Genomic DNA, 19,212 nt, shown 5'->3' with positions numbered 1-19,212 from the left:
AGCTTGCATGGGGGAGAGGAACTCAGAGCCTTGCCCGCAGCTCTGACACGTGGACCCTGCCCTTTCCTGAAGCTGCCATTCCCAGATGCTCCCAGGCCCCAGGCTGGGCAGGCCGACTCCACCCCAGACCCTGCAGCTCCTCACCCGTCCCAGAGTGTTTCTGCCGGCCACTGCCCATCCACCAGCCCCGCCCATACCCACAGCCCCGCCCACACTCATAGCCCCACCCACACCCTACAGCCCCACTCACAACACAGCCCCACCCACAAAACACAGCCCTGCCCACACAACACAGCCCACCCCACACCCACAGCCCCACCCACACTCCACAGCCTCACCCACTCTCCACAGCCCCACCCACACTCCACAGCCCCGCCCACACTCCAAGCCCCACCCACACTCCCCATTCCCACCCGTGCTCCCTAGCCCCACTCACACCCAACAGCCCTGCCCACTCTCCACAGCCCCACCCACACACCACAGCCCCACCCACACACCTCAGCCCCACCCACACACCACAGCCCCACCCAGCATTCCCCAGCCCCACTACCTTGATGGTCTGGGCAAGGCAAACCCACTCAGCGATGGTCATGTCACTGGAGTCGAAGAGGGGCTGGCACTCCAGCACGGTGTAGAGAATCCTCTGGTTGCGGCTGGCCGGGCTGCGGGACAGAAACAGCAGGAGGCGGAACAGCAGGCTCCCGCTCTGCACCTCCTCCTGCTCTAAATGCCCTGACCCGCTCTGTTCCCCTCTGGCAGAGCTGGGGCCCCTACGCCAAGGGCTCCGCACATAGCAAGTTCTCAGCATCCCAGGTACGGGGCCCGGCCCCCCTTCCACCTGGAGCTCCCCACAGAGGCAAGGACGTAGGTCAGGATGGGCCACTCCCAGCAGTCTTCTTCCCACACCAGCTCGAAGAGGGGGGCTGGGACCAGCCATCCCCAGGCAGGAGAGGATGCTTGCAGGAGGCTCGCCTGTGGCGGCTGTGGTGGTCAGCCACCACGAGGGCAACTCCCAGCTCACCCCCAGCTGTGGGGGACATCAGGGAGCTGGGCCCAGAGCTGAGAAATGGAAGGACCTCTATGCTGGGGGCAAGGCCACCTGGGCCAGCTGGCTCCTGATATACAGGATCCCTAGACGGGGCGCCCTCATCACACTTGCCGAAGCAGCCTGGCTGGGGGTGTGGGAGGAGGGTGGGGAGGGAAGGTGGGACCAGGCACGGGGCACCCTCAGAGGTTCAGGCTCTGGTGGAAGGCGACTGCTGGTCAGTCCTAAAGCCCTGTAAGCTGAGGGGATGTTAGAGACAGGGGTGAGCAAATGGCTCACGTGGGCCTGGCCAGCAGTGCCCAGCCTCAGGATCGGTGCCCCTCAGCAGCCATGCCCTGTCCGGGACTGGGAGGAGCCCACACTCACGGTAGCACCAGGGTGTCCTCAGAGAGGCCGCGGGCTCGGGCGTGCTCCTCGTCATGGAACATGGGCAGTGTCCTCAGGATGGCAGCCAGGCCCGTCCCGGGCACAAGCACTGCAGGCAGAGTCCAGGTGGATGCTGGGGTCAGGGGCTGACAGCCATGGCCGCCTCCTCCCTCACTGAGGGGCAGGACCAGAGCTGGTGGGATGGGGCTCCGGTCTTATGACAGTCAGAGGCTGGGAGGAAGGGCTATGGCTGCCCCTGGGACCCCTCAGAGGGCAGGCGGCTGACCCGCGTTTGGAAGCCATGGCTTCCTGCCTTGGAGCCCGTGGTGATTCCTCATTTCGCACCTGGACGGCCCCAGGAGCTCTGCCCAGGTCTCTAGCTGCTCCACCCAGGCCCTGCCCCTGCTCCCACCTCCTTCTCCAAATGCTTAGTCCACACTCCCCACCAAGGCCCACGGGGCTCAGCCTTTGCCTCACTGTGGATATACTGTGGGCTCTGCCTGGAAGTCCTGCCTCGTCCCCACTTCTCACCCAGTAGGTGCCTCAAGGCCCAGATTGGGACACCACCCCCAGGAAGCCCTCCCAGATGCCCAGGCTGTAGTGCTATTCCCACATTCTCCCTCACTGGCCCTCGAGCTCCCAAAGGGCACGGACTGTGTGACTCCCTCAGGGTCCAGCCCAGGTCCCCTTCCCCAGCTCCCCGACCTGGAGGGCCTAGCACACAGCAAGTGCACAGACGGGCTGGTCCCACCCCCAGCAACTCTGCCACCTTCCTGCAGCCTCTGCATCTCAGTTCTGTCCCTTAAATGGAGACCTGGCCACACCACTCATTCCCTGGGGCCAGCTGCTCAGTATAAAGCCCTGACCCCTCAGCCACCCCTCCAGGGCCTCCAGCAAGTCCCAAAGCTCCCTCCCGGCCCTCCCTTCCCTCCCCCAGCAGCAATGCCCCATCCTATCCTGCAGATCCCAGCCATGGTCACCTGCTTTCCCCCCTCGCCCTCTGCAGCTGTACCCATCGCCTATCACTGGCTCACAAATTAACCCCAAACTTGGCAAGTTAAAGCAGCCCCCTCTAATATCCCTCCAGCCGCACCCCTCCCTGACATCGCCCTCCACTGCTGGGCTCACCCTGGTCTCCACATCTCTGCCTGTTAAGTCACCAGCCCCGGGACACCAGCCCTTGGCCCCGTGAAGGTTTATGGCACCCGTGATCCTCCTCTGGCCTTACACAAAGGCCTGTGGAGCCCCGGGGACGTTTGCCAGAGGACTGGAAGATGCAGGCCGGCTGAGGTGCAGCCGCTGACAAAATCACCCCGCCAGTAGGGCTCAGCCAGCAGACGGGGGAGGCGGAGCCCGCACATGTTTGTCTGCCCGTCTGCCCTCCGAGGCGCCCAGAGCACAGCCAGGACACGGGCTGCCGGAACAAAGGTCTGGATTCACCAGCCTTGTGAACCCCAAGGACCCAACCTCAGACCCTGGGCATCCAGGGGGCTCAGGGTCCACCCCACACCGGTGTCCAAGTGTCCCTGTCTCATGTATGGTGGGTTGAAAAAGCATCCTAGATGTCCGCATCCCAGGGCCGGGCGCAGTGCCTCAGGCCTGGAATCCCAGCACTTTGGGTGGCCGAGGTGTCAGATTGCTTGAGGTCTGGAATTCAAGACCAGCCTGGTCAACATGGTGAAACCCTGTCTTTACGAATAATACAAAAATTAACTGGTCATGATGGCAGGTGCCTGTAATCCCAGCTACTTGGGAGGTTGAGGCGGGAGAATCACTTGAATCTGGCAGGCGGAGGTTGCAGTGAGCCAAGATCGCACCACTGCACTCCAGCCTGGGTGACAGAATGAGACTGTCTCAAAAAATTAAATAAATACATAAAAATTAAAAAGATGTCCACATCCCAATCCCCGGTACCTGTGGGTGTCACTTCATATGGAAGTGTCTTTACGGATGTGATATTAGGGGTCATGGGGCGGGAGGTGGCCCTGGACAATCCAGGTGGGCCCTAAACGCCCTCTCGTGTTTCCTCACAGGTGGAAGGCCACAGGGCACGGGGAGGGGAAGGCCATATGACGACAGGGCAGAGCGGCCCTTGGAGATGCTGGCCTGGATGACTGGAGTGATGCGGCCACAAGCCAAGGATTGCAGCAGCCACCAGACACTGGAGGTGGCAGGGGTGGCTCCTCCCGCAGAGCGTCAGGACGGAGCGGTGCCCTGCAGCACCTTGGCTCAGCCCGGGGAAACCCCTCTCAGGCCTCGGCCTCCAGAACCCAGAACGAACTTCTGTGATGTTCAGCCGCCCGGCACAGTGGCCACAGGAAACAAAAAGTCACTCTCCACTCATCACGGCGGGTGAAGCTGGGGTGCCTTATGGGAAAGGTGGAGGGGGCATATCTGGTTTGGTTTTGTGGGACATGCTCACGTTGTGCAAGGTCACCTCCAGCTGCTGCTGACTCATGTGGGGGAACAGCTTCCAGAAACTTCCAGGAATGCTGCAGAGTGGTAGGCGTGGATATGGGCCCTGCTGTCCCTGCTGGGGGCATGTGTGGGCACCACAGGCGAAATCAGCCAAAGACAAGACTAAACTCTCTTGGTGTCCTCTTCTCTCAAGCAAAACACTCCATATGTGCTTTTGCAGTGGTTTTTATGGCTCACACCTGTAATCCCAGAATTTTGGGAGGCTGATGCAGGAAGATCATTTGAGCCCAGGAGTTCAAAACCAGCCTGGCCAATTTCTTTCTTTTTTCTTTTTCTTCTCCTTTCTTCCTTTTTTTTTTTTTTTTTTTTTTTTTTTGAGGCAGAGTCTCACTCTGTTGCCCAGGCTGGAGTACAGTGATGCCATCTCGACTCACTGCAACCTCCACCCACCCGGCTCAAGCAATTCTCCTGCCTTAGCCTCCCGAGTAGCCGGGATTACAGGCATGCACCACCACACCTAGCTAATTTTTTATTTTTAGTAGAGACGGGGTTTCGCCATGTTAGCAAGGCAAGTGAACCACCCGCCTTGGCCTCCCAAAGTGTTGGAATTACAGGCCTGAGCCACCATGTCTGGCCAAACGTTCCTTTTTCAAACCTATACTGTCGCCAGTAAAGTTTTCTTACCAACCTGCGAGTGGACCACTTTCCAACTCTGGGGCTCCAGCACTCACCCCGCAGTCAATGTGTTGTACGTCAGCAGCCATTCTAACAGGTATGTAGTGGCATCAGTTTTTTTTGTTTGTTTGAGACAGGGTCTCACTCTGTCACTCAGGCTGGAGTGCAGTGGCGAGATCTCGGCTCACTGCAACCTCCACCTCCTGGGTTCAAGCGATTCTCATGCCTCAGCCTCCCCAGTAGCTGGGACCACAGGCATCTGCCACCACATCTGGCTAATTTTTTTTTTGTATTTTTAGTAGAGACAGGGTTTCACCATGTTGTCCATGGCTGGTCTTGAACTCCCGATCTCAAGTGATCCACCCACCTCAGCCTCCCAAAGTGCTGGGATTACAGGTGTGAGCCACCGCGCCCAGTCAGCTGGGGCAATTTCTTTTGTTATTTTAAATAAACACCAGCTTTCAGCCGGGCACGGTGGCGGGCGCCTGTAGTCCCAGCTACTCGGGAGGCTGAGGCAGGAGAATGGTGTGAACCCGGGAGGCAGAGCTTGCAGTGAGCTGAGATCGCGCCACTGCACTCCAGTCTGGGCGACAGAGTGAGACTCCATCTCAAAAAAATAAAAATAAATAAAAAATAAACAAACACCGGCTTTCACACCTAACTATGATTTTGTAACTTGTATTACTTTTCTCAATGAGGGCCCTCCAAAAGCTTCAAGGGCTGCAGAATCTGAACCCTCCAGCCCTGCCTGGAACCTCTTCCTTGGCCCATCCAGGCAGGTGCCTGAGTTTGCTGGTGACTTGGAAACTCCTCAGCCCCCTGCCAAACACCTGGAAAGGAGGCTTTGCTCTCTAAGACAATGGGCCCCACTGTCACCAGCGAAGTCAAGCTTAGGCTTAGAAACTTGTGAACGTGTAGCACCCATTCAGGAAGGAGGTCCAGGCCAAGGGCACAGACGCCACTGCAGTAACCAAGAAGCCATGGGCATCACTCCACTGACACTCTCGACTGCTGGGACCCGTGTGGTCACCGGGCAGGGAGCTTCTCTCAGCTGCCTGGCCCCAGATCTCTGCCCTCCCTGCTGTGCCTGCAAGGAGCCGGGCTCAGGAGGGACTTTGGGACAGGCCGGCAAGCAGGTGGGGTTCCCAGTTTGACATAGGAAGTCTTCAAGTTTCTCGGGTGTACAGAACGTGGCCACTGATGCCAGCTTGGGCTTGGGGTTATCAGCCGTGTTTGGATTCGCTATGCCCCTTGACCTGTGATAGCTTCAATGAACTCAGAGAAGGGATGGGTCAAGGGGCGTCCCCACTGGCATCACCTCTGCCCTCCCTGAACTCTGGCAGGGCTCCAGGTGTGCAGCGTTCCACCCACAGGTCACTGTTTACCAGCAGGCGCAGAAGCCGTTCCAACAGCGACAATCAAACAGCTTTACTAGGGCAAAGCCACCACTCCCCTCTCACCTCCCCAGGGAAGGCCAGAGCCCACGTCAGCAGTGTGGAGGGAGTAAATCATTGACGCCTGACAGTCTGGCTGCTCCAACCTCACGAGGGGTTGGGGGAGCCCATTCCTGCAGGTTCCTGGAAGTGGATGCCCCACATGGGTCAGCTAGCAACAGCTGGGGGTGACCTCGCAGCCACACGAGGACGGGCTGCTGAGCAGAAGCCAGGACCCCAGTGCACAGAGCACCAAGGGATCTCAGAAGGCTGCTTCAGGTCTGAAGACTGACGCCCCACACCCAATTTCCAGCCTCCAAGTCTCTTGTTTCCCACCCAGACACAGGACCTCACAGCCTCTTTCAGAAATGCGGTGCACGCGTGTGAGTGCACCCACAGGCTGCTGCGGCGAGCACGCGGGGGCCAAGCGAGACGGGTGTGTGGTGGGGTTACAGAGTCCACCTGCCCCTGCAGCTCGGACCACTCAAGAACTACATGTTGAGCTCAACGAAACTGCAGTTGGCCACACTCCAAGCCTGAAGGGGTAGCGTCAGGGGCGTCGGACGAGGCCCCACACAGAGTCCCCAGGTCCTGTCCCCACTCGGGGGCAGCTCTGGCAGGCTCCGGCCCTGCTGGGCTCCCCACTCCTCTTTCCTGCACCTTGCAGGGCTGCTCCTGGCCTGGCCCTCTCCCATCTTTGTCCTGCAGGCCTTGTGTCCTCAGAGAAGCCCTCCCTGGGCTGCCTCCAAACTCCACACCATCCACACACCCAGCTCAGACCCTGTTATCAGCCCACAGCCCCTACAGGGCCCTGGCAGATCCTGCCCCTGGGACTAGCTCCTTAATGCATGCCATCCCTTCAATGGCAGCCTCTCTCTCTAGCTTGTGAGGGCCAAGCACAGGAATTGTGTCACTCTGTGTCAGTGGAGTGTCACACAGGGGCGTTTGCCAAGCTGTGAATGACTTTGTTCCATTCACAGGCAGAAGGAGAAGTGCAGAGGAGGCTCCCGGCAGCCTGGACAGCCACGTTCTTGGGGACCTGAGTCCCTCGTGGACGAGCCCCACTAGGCTTTGTCTCCTGGGCTGGGCGCAGAGTGGGCCTCCAGAGGGGTCTGCACCGGCCACAGTGTGGTGGGTGGAATCTGAGAGCACCGACAGAGTGCTGGTGGCTTCTGAGCAGCCACTTCAGCAGAAAGGGGTGGCCAGGAGGGGCAGCTGCCAGGGAACAGGCCGTGAGAGGGGGTGGGGATAGGAGGGGCGGGGAAGTGGTTGGCAGATGGGCAAGGGACAAGAGAATGTTCTGGTCATGCCAGGGGAGGCCCTGGGCTCTGGCAGAGCCGGAGAGGGTCCCAGCCGTCCCAGGAGAGAGAGCTGCGCTGGACACAAGCAGGAGTGTGGGGAGGGGCCAGGGCAGCAGGGAGTGGGAGGAGGAGGAGTGGAAAGGGCTCCTGAGGGAAAGGCAGGCAGTGGCCCATGGAGGGTCGCAAACAGGTTCAAGACGGGGCGAGGGGGCTGTCCTGGCCCCAAGGGAGGCCCCACATCACAGCAGAGCCCATCTGGGGGCCCCAGGCAGTGTCCTGCCCTCCTGGGGAACACCCAGGCATTCTGGAGGCTCCAGTGCAACCGTCCTCTCCCCATCCCGGTGGCCTCAGGCTCCCCAAGCTACCATCCTTCCTGTGCCCAGCCCAGGCTGGCAGCACTGTGCTGGAGTACCACAGAGCTCGGTGCCTGTCCCAGGCCCTGACCCCACCCAGGCAGAACTCAGTCCAGACGCAATCGCTGGTCTCTGGTCAACCAGGTCCACACAGGGGCAGAGGAAGCAGGGCTCTGAGGCCACCTCGGGTGTGAACACGTGCGTCCCCGCAGATGCCAGGTAGCCCCAGTATCGTGCCAACCACTGCTGCCTGACCAGGACCCCAGGGGACGGGGACACCCTCCTGGGTGTCGCAGTTGAGGGGTCCTCGCAGCCTCCTAAGCCTTCTCCAGGGCAGCCTCCTAAGCCTTCTGTGTCCAGAGCAGGAGCGGCAGGCCAATGCCCTGGGGCCCTCCCGCCCCATATTCCAGGACTTCAGGACGCTGGCCCTCAGGGGCGCAGCGGCAGCACAGGGGGCCTGGCCCCAGGGTCGCAGGGCGCTCCCGGGAGCACCGCGACGGCGAGAACCCACCGCAATCTCCTCTGTCCAGGTCGGGGCTCCATGCGTGGGGACGCCGGTGGCCGGAACCGGAGGAGAGCGACCTCAGCCCGCACCCCCCATCCAGGCGCGGATTTGACTCCCCAACGACCCCCGTGGGTGCAGGAGGGTCCGAGGCTCCCGGTCGCGGCCAGGTCCAGAGGCCTACCCCGCCCAGGGTCTCGGACTCACCGCCGAGCTCACTCCGCATGCCAATGGTGCCGCCGGTGTAGACGGCCAGCAGCCTCCGCTCGGGCCCCACCGCGCGCGCCATGCCGGACCGGGGACCACGGGAGTGGACGGGGGTGTGCAGCGGGGACGCAGGGCCTGCGGGACTCAGGGACTGCGCGGAGGAGGCCCGGGGCGCCGGGGGCAGCCTGGGAGGGCGGGGCCGGCGGGGGCACCCACGGGGAGGGGGCGGGAGTGGAGTCTGCCCGGGAGGGTGGGAGGCCCCGCGGAGGCGGGCGGGGGCAGGACCTGGGGGCGGGGTGGGTCCCGGGGACTGTCCAGGGTCGGAGAGAGAGGCGGGGCCTGGCGGGGTGGGGGCGGGGCCTGGCGGGGTGCGGGGCGGGGCCTGGCGGGGTGCGGGGCGGGGCCTGGCGGGGTGCGGGGCGGGGCCTGGCGGGGTGCGGGGCGGGGCGCGGCCTTGGAAACGTGTAGGAAGAGGTGAGGTCTGTGAGGGCGGCAGGGGGAGCTCCTGCCTGGGCAGGAGATTGGCTGGGGCCTGCTTGGGGCTGGGGAGCGCCTGTCCAGGGACTAGGGGGCAGCCAGAAAGGCAGCGACAGGGGTGGGGCGGGTCCTGAGCCATCCTGCGGCCATTGGCCCTCCGTGGCGGCCCTGGGTGTTTGAGTAGCTGTGACATGTGGTGCCTGGCAGACCGTAGTGCCCGAGGCCCTCCACGACCTGAGCACAGAGGGGGCTCCGTGTCCTGTCAAGCAGCCTCCACAGCCCCGGGGCTCCAAGGCCGGCATTGCTGCCCAGGCCCTGCTGTCCCTCCTTTGGATGGCCAGAGGCAGGCAGAGCTGGACCAGCCCCTCCACATGTGCCCATTCACACACCATCCAAGAGAAGAGCCCGAGGGGCCCCCAAGGGCTGGAGCGGGACAGAGCAGGAGTATGGCCTTCTTGGACAAACACCGCCATTTTAGGTTCCCTTTGATTAAAAAGCTGCCTAAATCCAGCCCAAAACACATCAGCCCAATAGCTAATGTCAGCACGACCGTAAACCACAAATAACATCTCCAATCAGAAACATGCCAACCTCGAGATAACCTCCCCTCCGACCAGAGACATTCCAAGCCCGCAATAAACTTTCCCTCACATAGAAACATTCCGAGCCTGCGATAAGCTCCCCACTTCCTAAACCCTTAAAGATCCTTAGTCTGTAGGAGAGATGGCTCCTGACCAAAATCGGCCAGAAGTCCCTTTCAGGTTTATTCTCCAAAATAAACCTGCCTTTGTTGAGCCGCTTTTCATGTTTCTTTCCTCTTTCTTTAACTCCTACAGAGCCCACCCTCCTTCACTCCCATGAGAGCCCAGGAGGGCAGGGCACTGGCGGGTGCAGGGTCCCAGGAGGGTCCCAAGCTGCAGGCTTGCTCCCAGGTGGACAGAAGATCCGCGGCCTCCTCGTCTCCTGGCACCTTGACTGCCTGGGGCACTGATGCACTTTGGTGGGAAACTGTGTGTTGCCCCCAGAAGGCACCAGCATTTGACACTGATTCCATAATAAAAATTATTATTATTCTGTTGCCTGGAGGGCAGTAGCAAGATCTTGGCTCACTGCAACCTGTGCCTCCCAGGTTCAAGCAATTGTCTTGTCTCAGCCCCCTCCCCGAATAGCTGGGATTGCAGGTGCACACCACACCAGGCTAATTTTTTTTTCTTTTTTTTTTTTTGTATTTTTAGTAGAGACGGGGTTTCACCATGTTGGCCAGGCTGGTCTTGAACTCCTGACCTCAGGTACTCCACCCACCTCAGCCTCCCTAAGTGTTGGGATTACAGGTGTGAGCCGCCATGCCCAGCCCCATATAATTATTTTGATAACAACAGTGCAATAGTGCAAAAGTAATCTTGTCTGCAGAGAAGCAAAGGCATTCTGCCCAGCAAAGGTCTGTGTTAGTTTTCTGGGACTGCAGTAACAGAACGAGTGATTTACAGTGCAAGGAGGTCTACCTCTCACAGTTCTTGGGGGTGGAAGTCTAAGGTCAGGGTGTCACAGGTTGGTGTCTCCTGGGCAAGCAGATGGTGCCTTCTTGCTGTGCCTCACAGGGTCTTTCCTCTGAGCAGTCACGCATCCCTGATGTATCTCCAGATGTCCAGACTTTCTCTTTTTATAGACATACCAGTCAGATTGAATTTGGGGCCTCATTTTAATTCAACCATCTCTTTAAAGTCTACCTCCAAATACAGTTGCATTCTAAGACACTGGGGTGTGGGGGACTTGAACATTAGAATCTAAGGGAGACAATCCAGCCCATCACAGCCCCCTGAAAATCCAGTTTCAGGTCCATTTGCACAATCATGTCAATATTCCTCATCTGTAAGTGTCTGTTTCAGGACTTCTCTTCTGAGCTGGTCCTCACAGCTGCCTGGGCTAGGGAAGCTCTTCGACGCATGCTCACCCTGCATCCCTGTGAGCACCATGTCTGGCCCTTTCGGGAATCATCCTTTAACAACCCGCCTGCTACCATAAATTCTAGGAAAACTTGTCTGGGGCCAGGGCAGCCTTCACTGGCAATAATCCTCACTGGAGTGGCTTTTCTCCCAGGTGCAAGGAGCCCCATCAGGTTTCTGCTGCTGAAACCTTGCAAGCACCAGGACTCGACGCTGCAGCTTCACCTGAAGACACTGCCGGTCTTTGGACGAATCCACTGTCCTGCTTTGCTTTTGTCTGCGTCCACCTACATCTACAGCGTCCTTGGACGGAATCTTTCATGCAATATATGTTGAAGGCTGGCTCTGTGCCAGATGCCTCTCTAGGCACAGGGGACGCAGCCCGTCCTTCTGAGTGTACCAGCCAGGGTGGGGGCCATAGTAGACAAAAATACCAGCGTCTGGCAGTGACAGTGCCTGGAGGAACACTCAGGGAACACGGAGACAGGCAGTGCTGTTTACAACAGGGTGGCCAGGGAAGGCCTCTCCGAAGGGTTGGCATTGGAGCAAAGCCAGCATGCCAGGCGGGACAGGCTGCCAGGAAGGGACAGGTGCTGAGGCCCGAGGCAGGAGTGAGCATGGCCCCACAGTGCCCAGGTCAGTGGGGCGAGAGCACTCAGAGGGAGGGGATGCCCGCTGAGTGACTGTGGTGCCACGCAAGGACTTTCAATTTAACCCCAAAGGTGAACACCAGCCCCACCGAGGGTTGGGCTGGTTTGTTTTAATCTCTGGCTGCTATGTGCGGAGACTGAGACAAGAATGGGTTCAGGAGGGCTTTGGGCAGGGTGGGGAGGAGCTGGGGATGGGGAAGTGCAAGGTGGGAGTGCTGGGAGCACAAGCTGGAGCTTGAGGGGTACGCGCCGAAGAGAAAGGGTGACTCTCCTGTCTTTGGCCAGAGCAGCCACGGAGTGGGGATGTCCTTACTGAGAAAGCAGGGGCCAGAGTGGGGCCTGGGGCCAGGCAGAGGGAAGCAAGGTGTGTTGGACACATCCTGCTTGGGGGCCACCTGGGCAGGTCCAAGGAGACTCAGCTGCGCGTCCTGCAGTCAGTGGCACAGGGACCACAAAGTCGTGACAGCAGCGAGGTGTCAGCAGAGACAAAGGCCCTAGTCTGAGCCTCAGCATTCTGGCCTCAGAGGCCAGGAGGAGGAGAGAACCCAGGACCGCGAGGGGAGAAGGCCAGTAAGTGATCTTCACGTGAAGTCCCGGGGCTTGGTGAGGGGAGGCCAGAAGCTGGCCACGGTGGAGCAAGGTGGAGGGTGCTGCGGCCTCACCCCGGGTGAGTGGCGTGGAGGGGCAAACGTCTGTCCCCCTGGAGGGACACTTGGCCATCGCTGTGCTGCCTGCTGCTGAAGGAAGGGCTCCCCACCAGGGGCTGGGTTAGGAAGGTGTGGGGTGTGCCAGTCGCTCCCTGGCTCCTGGCCCCCTGGCTCCCCAGGCAGTGTAGTGCCAGGAGGTGAGTCCAGGGAACCTAGGCAGCCCCAGCCAAGTCCCCACGTTCTGCCTGCCCCTCCTTTATTTTTGATTGTTCAGAAAAGTGTTTCCTTGGCCACCCAGGGGTCTCCTCGTCCCCTCTTCTCTCTCACTTCCCATCTACACCCTCCCCAGTGGCCCTCCTTCCACACAGCGCAGGAGAGTTCTGGGTGGGACCCTCCCAGAGTGTTTATAAAATCCACTCCGGCCCCAGCCCCACCCAGAGCAGAGCGGAGGGACATCTGCCATTTGACAGTGCCCGGTGGTCCGGACCACCCTACAGCCCTGCCTACCTTTTCTGCAGCCCTGCCTGTCTTTTCTGCATCTCTTCTTCTAGAGCAGGGTGCTCAGAGCGTGGCCTCCGCTCCAGCAGCAGCACCTGGAACCTGTGGAAATGCAAAGCCCAGGCCCCTGACAACAACTCCGCGTGGGGCCCAGGAGTCCAGACTCTGACCCCGCTCTGGGTGATGCTGATACAGGTGCACATTTGGGAACCACTGGTCTCGAACAAAGGCCGGCAAACCAGGGCTCGACGGCCAGGCCTGGCGCACCTGTGTGTGTAAACACAGTTTTCTTGGAACAGCCACACCCACTCATTTATGTATTGTGTTGGGGAGGTGCCAGGTGGCAGGCCCCCGTGGCCATGCCATGGCTGGCCTTCCAGAGGCAGAGGGGCAGGAGGAAGTGCCTGGGTGCCGAGCAAGGGGCCGCAGGAATGCCACACGTACTCCTGTCTGTCCTCAGCCACTAACTGGGGCAGGCCTTGGTCCAGGGTGGTCACCTCCACCCTGAGGCTGGGGGGCCTCAGGTCACAAGCTCTGCTCTCCCAGTCCCCAGCTCCACACAAACAAGCCAAGACTCCTGGAGGCAAGGCGCAGTGCTGAGGCCACTGGCGAGGTACACGGTGCCCCCCTGGGTTCTGGCCGTGGCAGCAGGCCTGGGCAGGGAGGCCCTGGGAGCCCACCTTCTTCAGCCGCTCAGGCGTCGTCTGTTGCCCTACACTGTGAGTCTTCATGGTACTGCCTATGGGCCAGGCGCTGTTGCAGCCACCCTGCAAATCCAGGCACATTTCACCCCTGTGACCACACCGAGGCAGAGGATAACTGTCCTATTTGGCGAGTGAGGGGCCTGAGGCACACAGTGCGTCCCACGGCAGGCAAGCGCTGGCACTGGGCTTGTGGACACCACAGGAGTTCCTGACACTGTGTTGAAGCAGGCTGGCCCGGCCTGGGCCAGTGTGCTGGAGGGGAACAGAGGTGTGTGGGGACCCCAGAGAGAGGAAGCCTAAGAAACTTTCCGACAGGGAAAGGAGTCTTGGGGCCTGGGCAGGGAACTGCAGAGAGCTGGGGCATCTTCGGCAGAAGGTTGGACCCCAGGGGAGTGTGGGAAAGCACTGAAGGGTCACTCTATGAGCTATGATCGCACCACTGCACTCCAGCCTGGTAATAGACCGAGCCCGTCTCATAAATAAATAAGGGCAAAGGACTTGAACAGACATTTCTCCAAAGATGATATACACTTGGCCAAGAAGCATACGAGAAATGCTCAACATCACTAATTATCAGGGACATGCAAAGCAAAGCCACGTGGTGTCCCCACTCACCCTTTGGGATGGCTACTATCAAAAAAAAAAAAAAAACAGAAAATAAGTGTTTGCAAGGATGTGGAGACATTGGAATTCTGGTGCACTGCTGGTGGGGTTATAAAATGATACAGCCACTATGGGAAACAGTAGAGGCTTCTCAATAAATTAAAATTAGAACTACCATAGCGTCCAGCAATTCCATTTGAGAACAGAGACCAAAGATTGGAAAGGAAGGTCTCAAAAAGATGTTTTCACACCCACGTTCATAACAGTACTGCTCACAAAAGCCAAGAGGTGGAAGCAACCTGTGTGCATCCACAGATGAGTGGATAAGCAAAGTGGTATCTCCATAGAAAAGGAAGGAAATCGGCCAGGCGTGGTGGCTCACGCCTGTAATACCAGCACTTTGGGAGGCCGAGGCAGGCGGATCACGAGGTCAGGAGATCGAGACCATCCTGGCTAACAAAGTGAAACCCCATCTCTACTAAAAATACAAAAAAATTAGCCGGGCGTGGTGACGGACGCCTGTAGTCCTAGCTACTCAGGAGGCTGAGGCAGGAGAATGTCGTGAACCCGGGAGGCAGAGCTTGCAGTGAGCAGCGATCGCACCACTGCACTCCAGCCTGGGCGACAGAGCAAGACTCTGTCTCAGGAAAAAAAAAAAAAAAGAAAAGGAAGGAAATCCTGCCACAGGCTACAACATAGGGTATGCTAAGTGAAATAAGCCAATCACAGAAAGACAAATACAGATGTTTGCAATGGGATTATGTTCTAATAAACCCATCATAAGTCAAAAAATCATTTAGTTCAAACTTCGTAAATCAGAGACCTTCTATCAATAGGATCCCACTTATATGGGGTACTAGATGCTGAGGTCTGAATGTATCCCCCAAAACTCACTTGTTGGAAACTTAATCCCCAATGCAACTGTGTTTGGAAGTGGGGCCTTTTAGGAGATGTTTAGGTCATGAGGGTGTGCCCTCGTGAATGAGTTAATGCCACTATAAAACGACCTAACTGAGGGAGTTTGGTCTTTTTTACCCGTCTGCCACATGAGAACACAGACTTCAAGGTGCCATCTTGCAAGCAGAAGCCCAGATCCTCACCAGACGCCAGATGCCAGCTCCTTGATCTTGGACTTCCCAGCCTCCAGAACTGTGAGAAATAAATCTGTCGTTTATAAATTACCCAGTCTCAGGTATTCTGTTACAGCAGCACAAAACAGACTGACTCTATGAGGAGCCAAACATATAGAAACAGAAGTGGAATGATGGTTGCCAGGGCTGAGAAGAGGAGGGACTGAGAAGTTGCTTCATAGGTGCAGAGTTTCAGATGTGCAAGATGAAAAAGTTCCAGGATCCCTTTCACAACAATGTGAATATACTTAACGGTGCACGACTGAACGGTGCACTTAAAAATAGTTAAGATGGTACATTTTTATGTTTTCTACCACAATAAAAAAAGTGAGCAGGCAAGGATAGACTAGAAGAAAATGTTCACAAGACATATACCAGACAAAGGATTTGCATTCTCACAAAAGAACTCCTACAACTCAATAAAAATACAAACAACTCCCCCCAAACGGGGCACAAGATTTAAGCAGATACTTCACAAAGGAAGATATGGGCAAATTTTAACACAAAAAATTAGGGGACCAGGTGTGGTGGCTCATGCCTGTAAACTTAGCACCAGGAGGCCAAGGCAGAGAAAATTTTTCTCTACAAAAATTAAAAACTAGCTGGGTGTGGTGGTGCACACCTGTGGTCCCAGCTACTCAGGGGGCTGAGGCAGGAGGATCGCTTGAACCCAGGAAGTGAATCACACCACTGGACTCCAGCCTGGGCGACAGAGCAAGACCCTGTCGCTAAAAAAATAAAAATAAATGTTCAGTTAAAGGGAATTAACTACTGAGAAGGGCAGAAACATGTCTAAAGAACATAGGAAGAGAAGATGTGCAGCAGCCTCTAGGATCAAGGACAACACCCATGGGAGGAAGAAACTTGGAACAGCCCTGCTCCCACACCCAGAATGAGACTCAGACCTCTTCGGAGAGAGAGTGGCTGAGGCCACGGAATGGCCAGAGGTGCAAAGGCTGGGCCTGGAGGCAGGAAACTGCTTATTGCTGAGAGGTGCTGGGAGGCCACCTGCTGGCAAGCAGCACCAGAAACAGGAAGAGTAGTTCCGCTCCTCCTGCAGTGTCCCTCCAGTGCCCTCTGCCGGCAACGCCTAACATTGCATCAGCTGGGAAAGAAGAAATGTTTACAGTCTAGCTCCAGGACGCCAGACGAAAGAAGGATGGATTGAGGGCTGAGAGAGAAAAGCTCCAACTAGCACGGAATGTAAGTATTACAACCGCTTTAGAAAATTTGGTAGTTTCTTACAAGATTAAACGACCACCTGCTCAATGACCCAGTAATCCCACAACTCCTCGGTATTTACCCAAGAGAAACAAAAATCTATCTACAGACTTGTTCACAGAAATTTTATTCATAATAGGTAAAAAGTGAAAACAATCCAATGCCCATCAGTAGACGAACAAAGAATAAAGTGTGTGTGTGTGTGTGTGTGTGTGTGTGTGTGTGTGTGTGTGCGTGGTTTGAGATGGAGTCTTGCTCTGTCGCCCAGGCTGCAGTGCAGTGGCACAATCTCAGCTCATTGCAACCTCTGCCTCCTGGGTTCAAGCAGTTCTCCTACCTCAGCCTCCGGAGTAGCTGTGATTACAGGGGCCGATCACCACCACGTCTGGCTAATTTTTGTATTTTTAGGAGAGACGAGGTTTCACCATGTTGGCCAGGCTGGTCTCGAACTCCTGCCCTCAGGTGACCCACTCACCTTAGCTTCCCAAAGTGCTGGGATTACAGGCATAAGCCACCATGCCCAGCCAAGAAACTGGTATATTTATACAATAGAAAACAAAAGAACAAATTATTGACTTAAACGTGTATCTTGGTCTGTTTTGTGCTGCTATAACATAAATAAACCTCAAACAAACATTATATTGAGCAAAAGCAGCCTGATACAAAACATTACATACTGTAGGATTCCATTTACATGAACTTTTACAACAATCAAAACTAATCTATAGGCTGGTCACGGTGGCTCACGCCTGTAATCCCAGCATTTTTGGGGGCCAAGGCAGGCAGATCACTTGGGGTCAGGAGTTTGAGACCAGCCTGACCAACATGGTGAAACCTTGTCTCTACTAAAAATACAAAAATTAGCCAGGCATGGTGGCATGAGCCTGTAGCCCCAGCTACTTGGGAGGCTGAAGCTGGAGAATTGCTTGAACCTGGGAGGCGGAGGCTGCAGTGAGCCGAGATCACGCCACTGCACTCCAGTCTGGGTAACAGAACAAGACACTGTCTCAAAACAAAACAAATCTATAGTGAAAGTAATCAGAAGGGCGGTTGTATCTATGGGAACTTCCTGTGGTGATGGAAATACTGTTATCCTAGCAGCGGTGTGGTCACATGGGTGTATCAATTCATCAATGCTATATCTGCACTATAATTCAGATCTGTACATTTCTCTGCAAATTATGCCTCAAACAATTTTAAAGGGGAAACAAGAATCTCTAATCTACAGCTATGTGAAAAAAGGAGGAGGGAACACAGACTATCAATGCTGAAGTTCTATTTCTTACCCTAAACTATCCTTTAGTCTTATACCATCCCAAATCAAAAGTTGTTACAATGAACCTAAATGAGCAGTAACAACAAAACTCTTAATCTAACAGTTCTCCAAACTCTTTTTCTTGTAAGCAAACTCTGAGAATGTTATTAGAACTTGTTTATTTCTCCATTGGTTCATATTACTCAGGCTTACATGTGTAGCTAGGATGGGCAAATGTAAGCATACTTTCTCTTTTTCATTTTTTTGAGACAAGGTCTCACTCTGTCACCCAGGTTGGAGTGCAGTGGCACGATCATAGCTCACTGCAGCCTCAAACTCCTGGGCTCAAGCAATCCTCCCACCTCAGCCTCCCAAGTAGCTGGGACTACAGGCACACACCACCACACCTGGCGATTTTATTTTTCTGCAGATGGGGGTCTCACTGTATTGCCCAGACTGGTCTCAAACTCCCAGGCTCAAGCCATCCTCCTGCCTTGGCCTCCCAAAGTGCTGGGATTACAGGCATGAACCACCATGCCCAGTGTCTTTTTAAACTTTTGTTTGATAGATTTAGGGGGTACAGATGCAGTCTTGTTACATGGATATGTTGCCTAGTAAAGTCTGGACTTTTAATGTAACTGTCACTCTAATAAAAGTATACATTCTACCCAATAGGTAATTTCTCATCCCTCACCCCCATCCCACCCTTCCACCTTTTCCAAATTCTTTCTAAATATGCCTCACAAAGTTGGAAGAAGCTATGCTTTCTTAACTTGCCATTATTTCTCATCGATGTTTCCAATTGTTGGGGGTTTTCTTCAGTTCTCAGGTATTTGCTTCTATTGATAGTTTGCGAGCTAGTATTTAGAGAAACTTCACCTTTTGCCTACAAAGTCAAAAGCTGCAGGAGAAACTTCACCTTTTGCCTACAAAGTCAAAAGCTGCAGAGGCAAAACCTGCAGTTCTGAGAGAAACGGGCTAGATGGCAGTGCTGTTCTCAGTGACATTTCTCAATTTACGAGGGGAAAAAACATCCCCTAGTCTTGAACGGGTTTACTAAAGCCCACGTATAAGGATCTCATTATAAAATACAATTTAAGCAGAAAATATTATGTAAGTGATTCTATGCCCCTTTCTAATTACAGATCTTCAGAAACACAGTCTAACCTGAGAGACTCCCCTAAAGTCTTTGCCAGTCAGATTTCCGCATTATACTACTGCCATGTGCCACATCATGACATTCTGGTCAACAGACCACCTAGAGGACAGTGGTTCCATAAGATGATACTATATTTTTCTTGTACTTTTCCATGTTTAGATACTTACCAATGTGTTACAATTGCCTACAGTAGGCCGGGCACGGTGGCTCACACCTGTAATCCCAGCACTTTGGGAGGCCAAGGCGGGTGGATCATGAGGTCAGGAGATCAAGATCATCCTGGCTAACATGGTGAAGCCCCGTCTCTACTAAAAATATAAAAAATTAGCCTTGCATGGTGGTGGGCACCTGTAGTCTCAGTTACTCAGGAGGCTGAGGCAGGAGAACGGCGTGAACCCAGGAGGCAGATCTTGCAGTGAGCCAAGATTGCACCACTGCACTCCAGCCTGGGCGAAAGTGCGAGACTCCCTCTCAAAAACAAACAAACAAACAAACAAAATTGCCTCCAGTATTCGGTAGTCACATGCTGCAGAGGTTCTTAGTAGAGGAATAGGCTCCACCAGATAGCCTAGGTGTGTCATACGCTGTACCATCTAGGTTTGTCTAAGTGTACTCCATGACGTTC

The 19,212-nt window shown here is 55.7% G+C and overlaps 2 protein-coding genes across 18 annotated transcripts in view; both read right to left on the bottom strand.

The window, feature by feature from the left end:
- Window positions 1-8,453, bottom strand: part of ASPG (asparaginase) — a 29,883-nt gene extending 21,430 nt beyond the window's left edge. For 11 of the 17 annotated variants that reach the window (XM_017021267.2, XM_017021273.2, XM_017021276.2 and 8 more), the window contains exon 1: window positions 551-1,405. In XM_017021267.2, the coding sequence (XP_016876756.1) occupies window positions 551-937 (387 nt within the window). In that variant the 5' untranslated portion in view covers window positions 938-1,405. The other 6 variants (NM_001080464.3, XM_047431356.1, XM_005267590.5 and 3 more) reach the window with 2 other exon arrangements.
- A 2,004-nt stretch (window positions 8,454-10,457) lies between these two features.
- Window positions 10,458-13,300, bottom strand: LOC124903408 (uncharacterized). Its single transcript, XM_047432050.1, has 2 exons — window positions 12,525-13,300; window positions 10,458-11,293 (listed from the first exon to the last, which is right to left on the bottom strand). The coding sequence occupies exons 1-2, from the start codon at window positions 13,298-13,300 to the stop codon at window positions 11,218-11,220; spliced, it is 852 nt and encodes a 283-aa protein (XP_047288006.1). The 3' UTR covers window positions 10,458-11,217.
- Window positions 13,301-19,212: the final 5,912 nt, after the last annotated feature.

The sequence above is a fragment of the Homo sapiens genome, chromosome 14, assembly GCF_000001405.40.
Source record: "Homo sapiens chromosome 14, GRCh38.p14 Primary Assembly".
NCBI lineage: Eukaryota > Metazoa > Chordata > Mammalia > Primates > Hominidae > Homo > Homo sapiens.
Note: the sequence above shows the minus strand (reverse complement) of the source record. Positions and strands in the feature narration are given on the sequence as shown.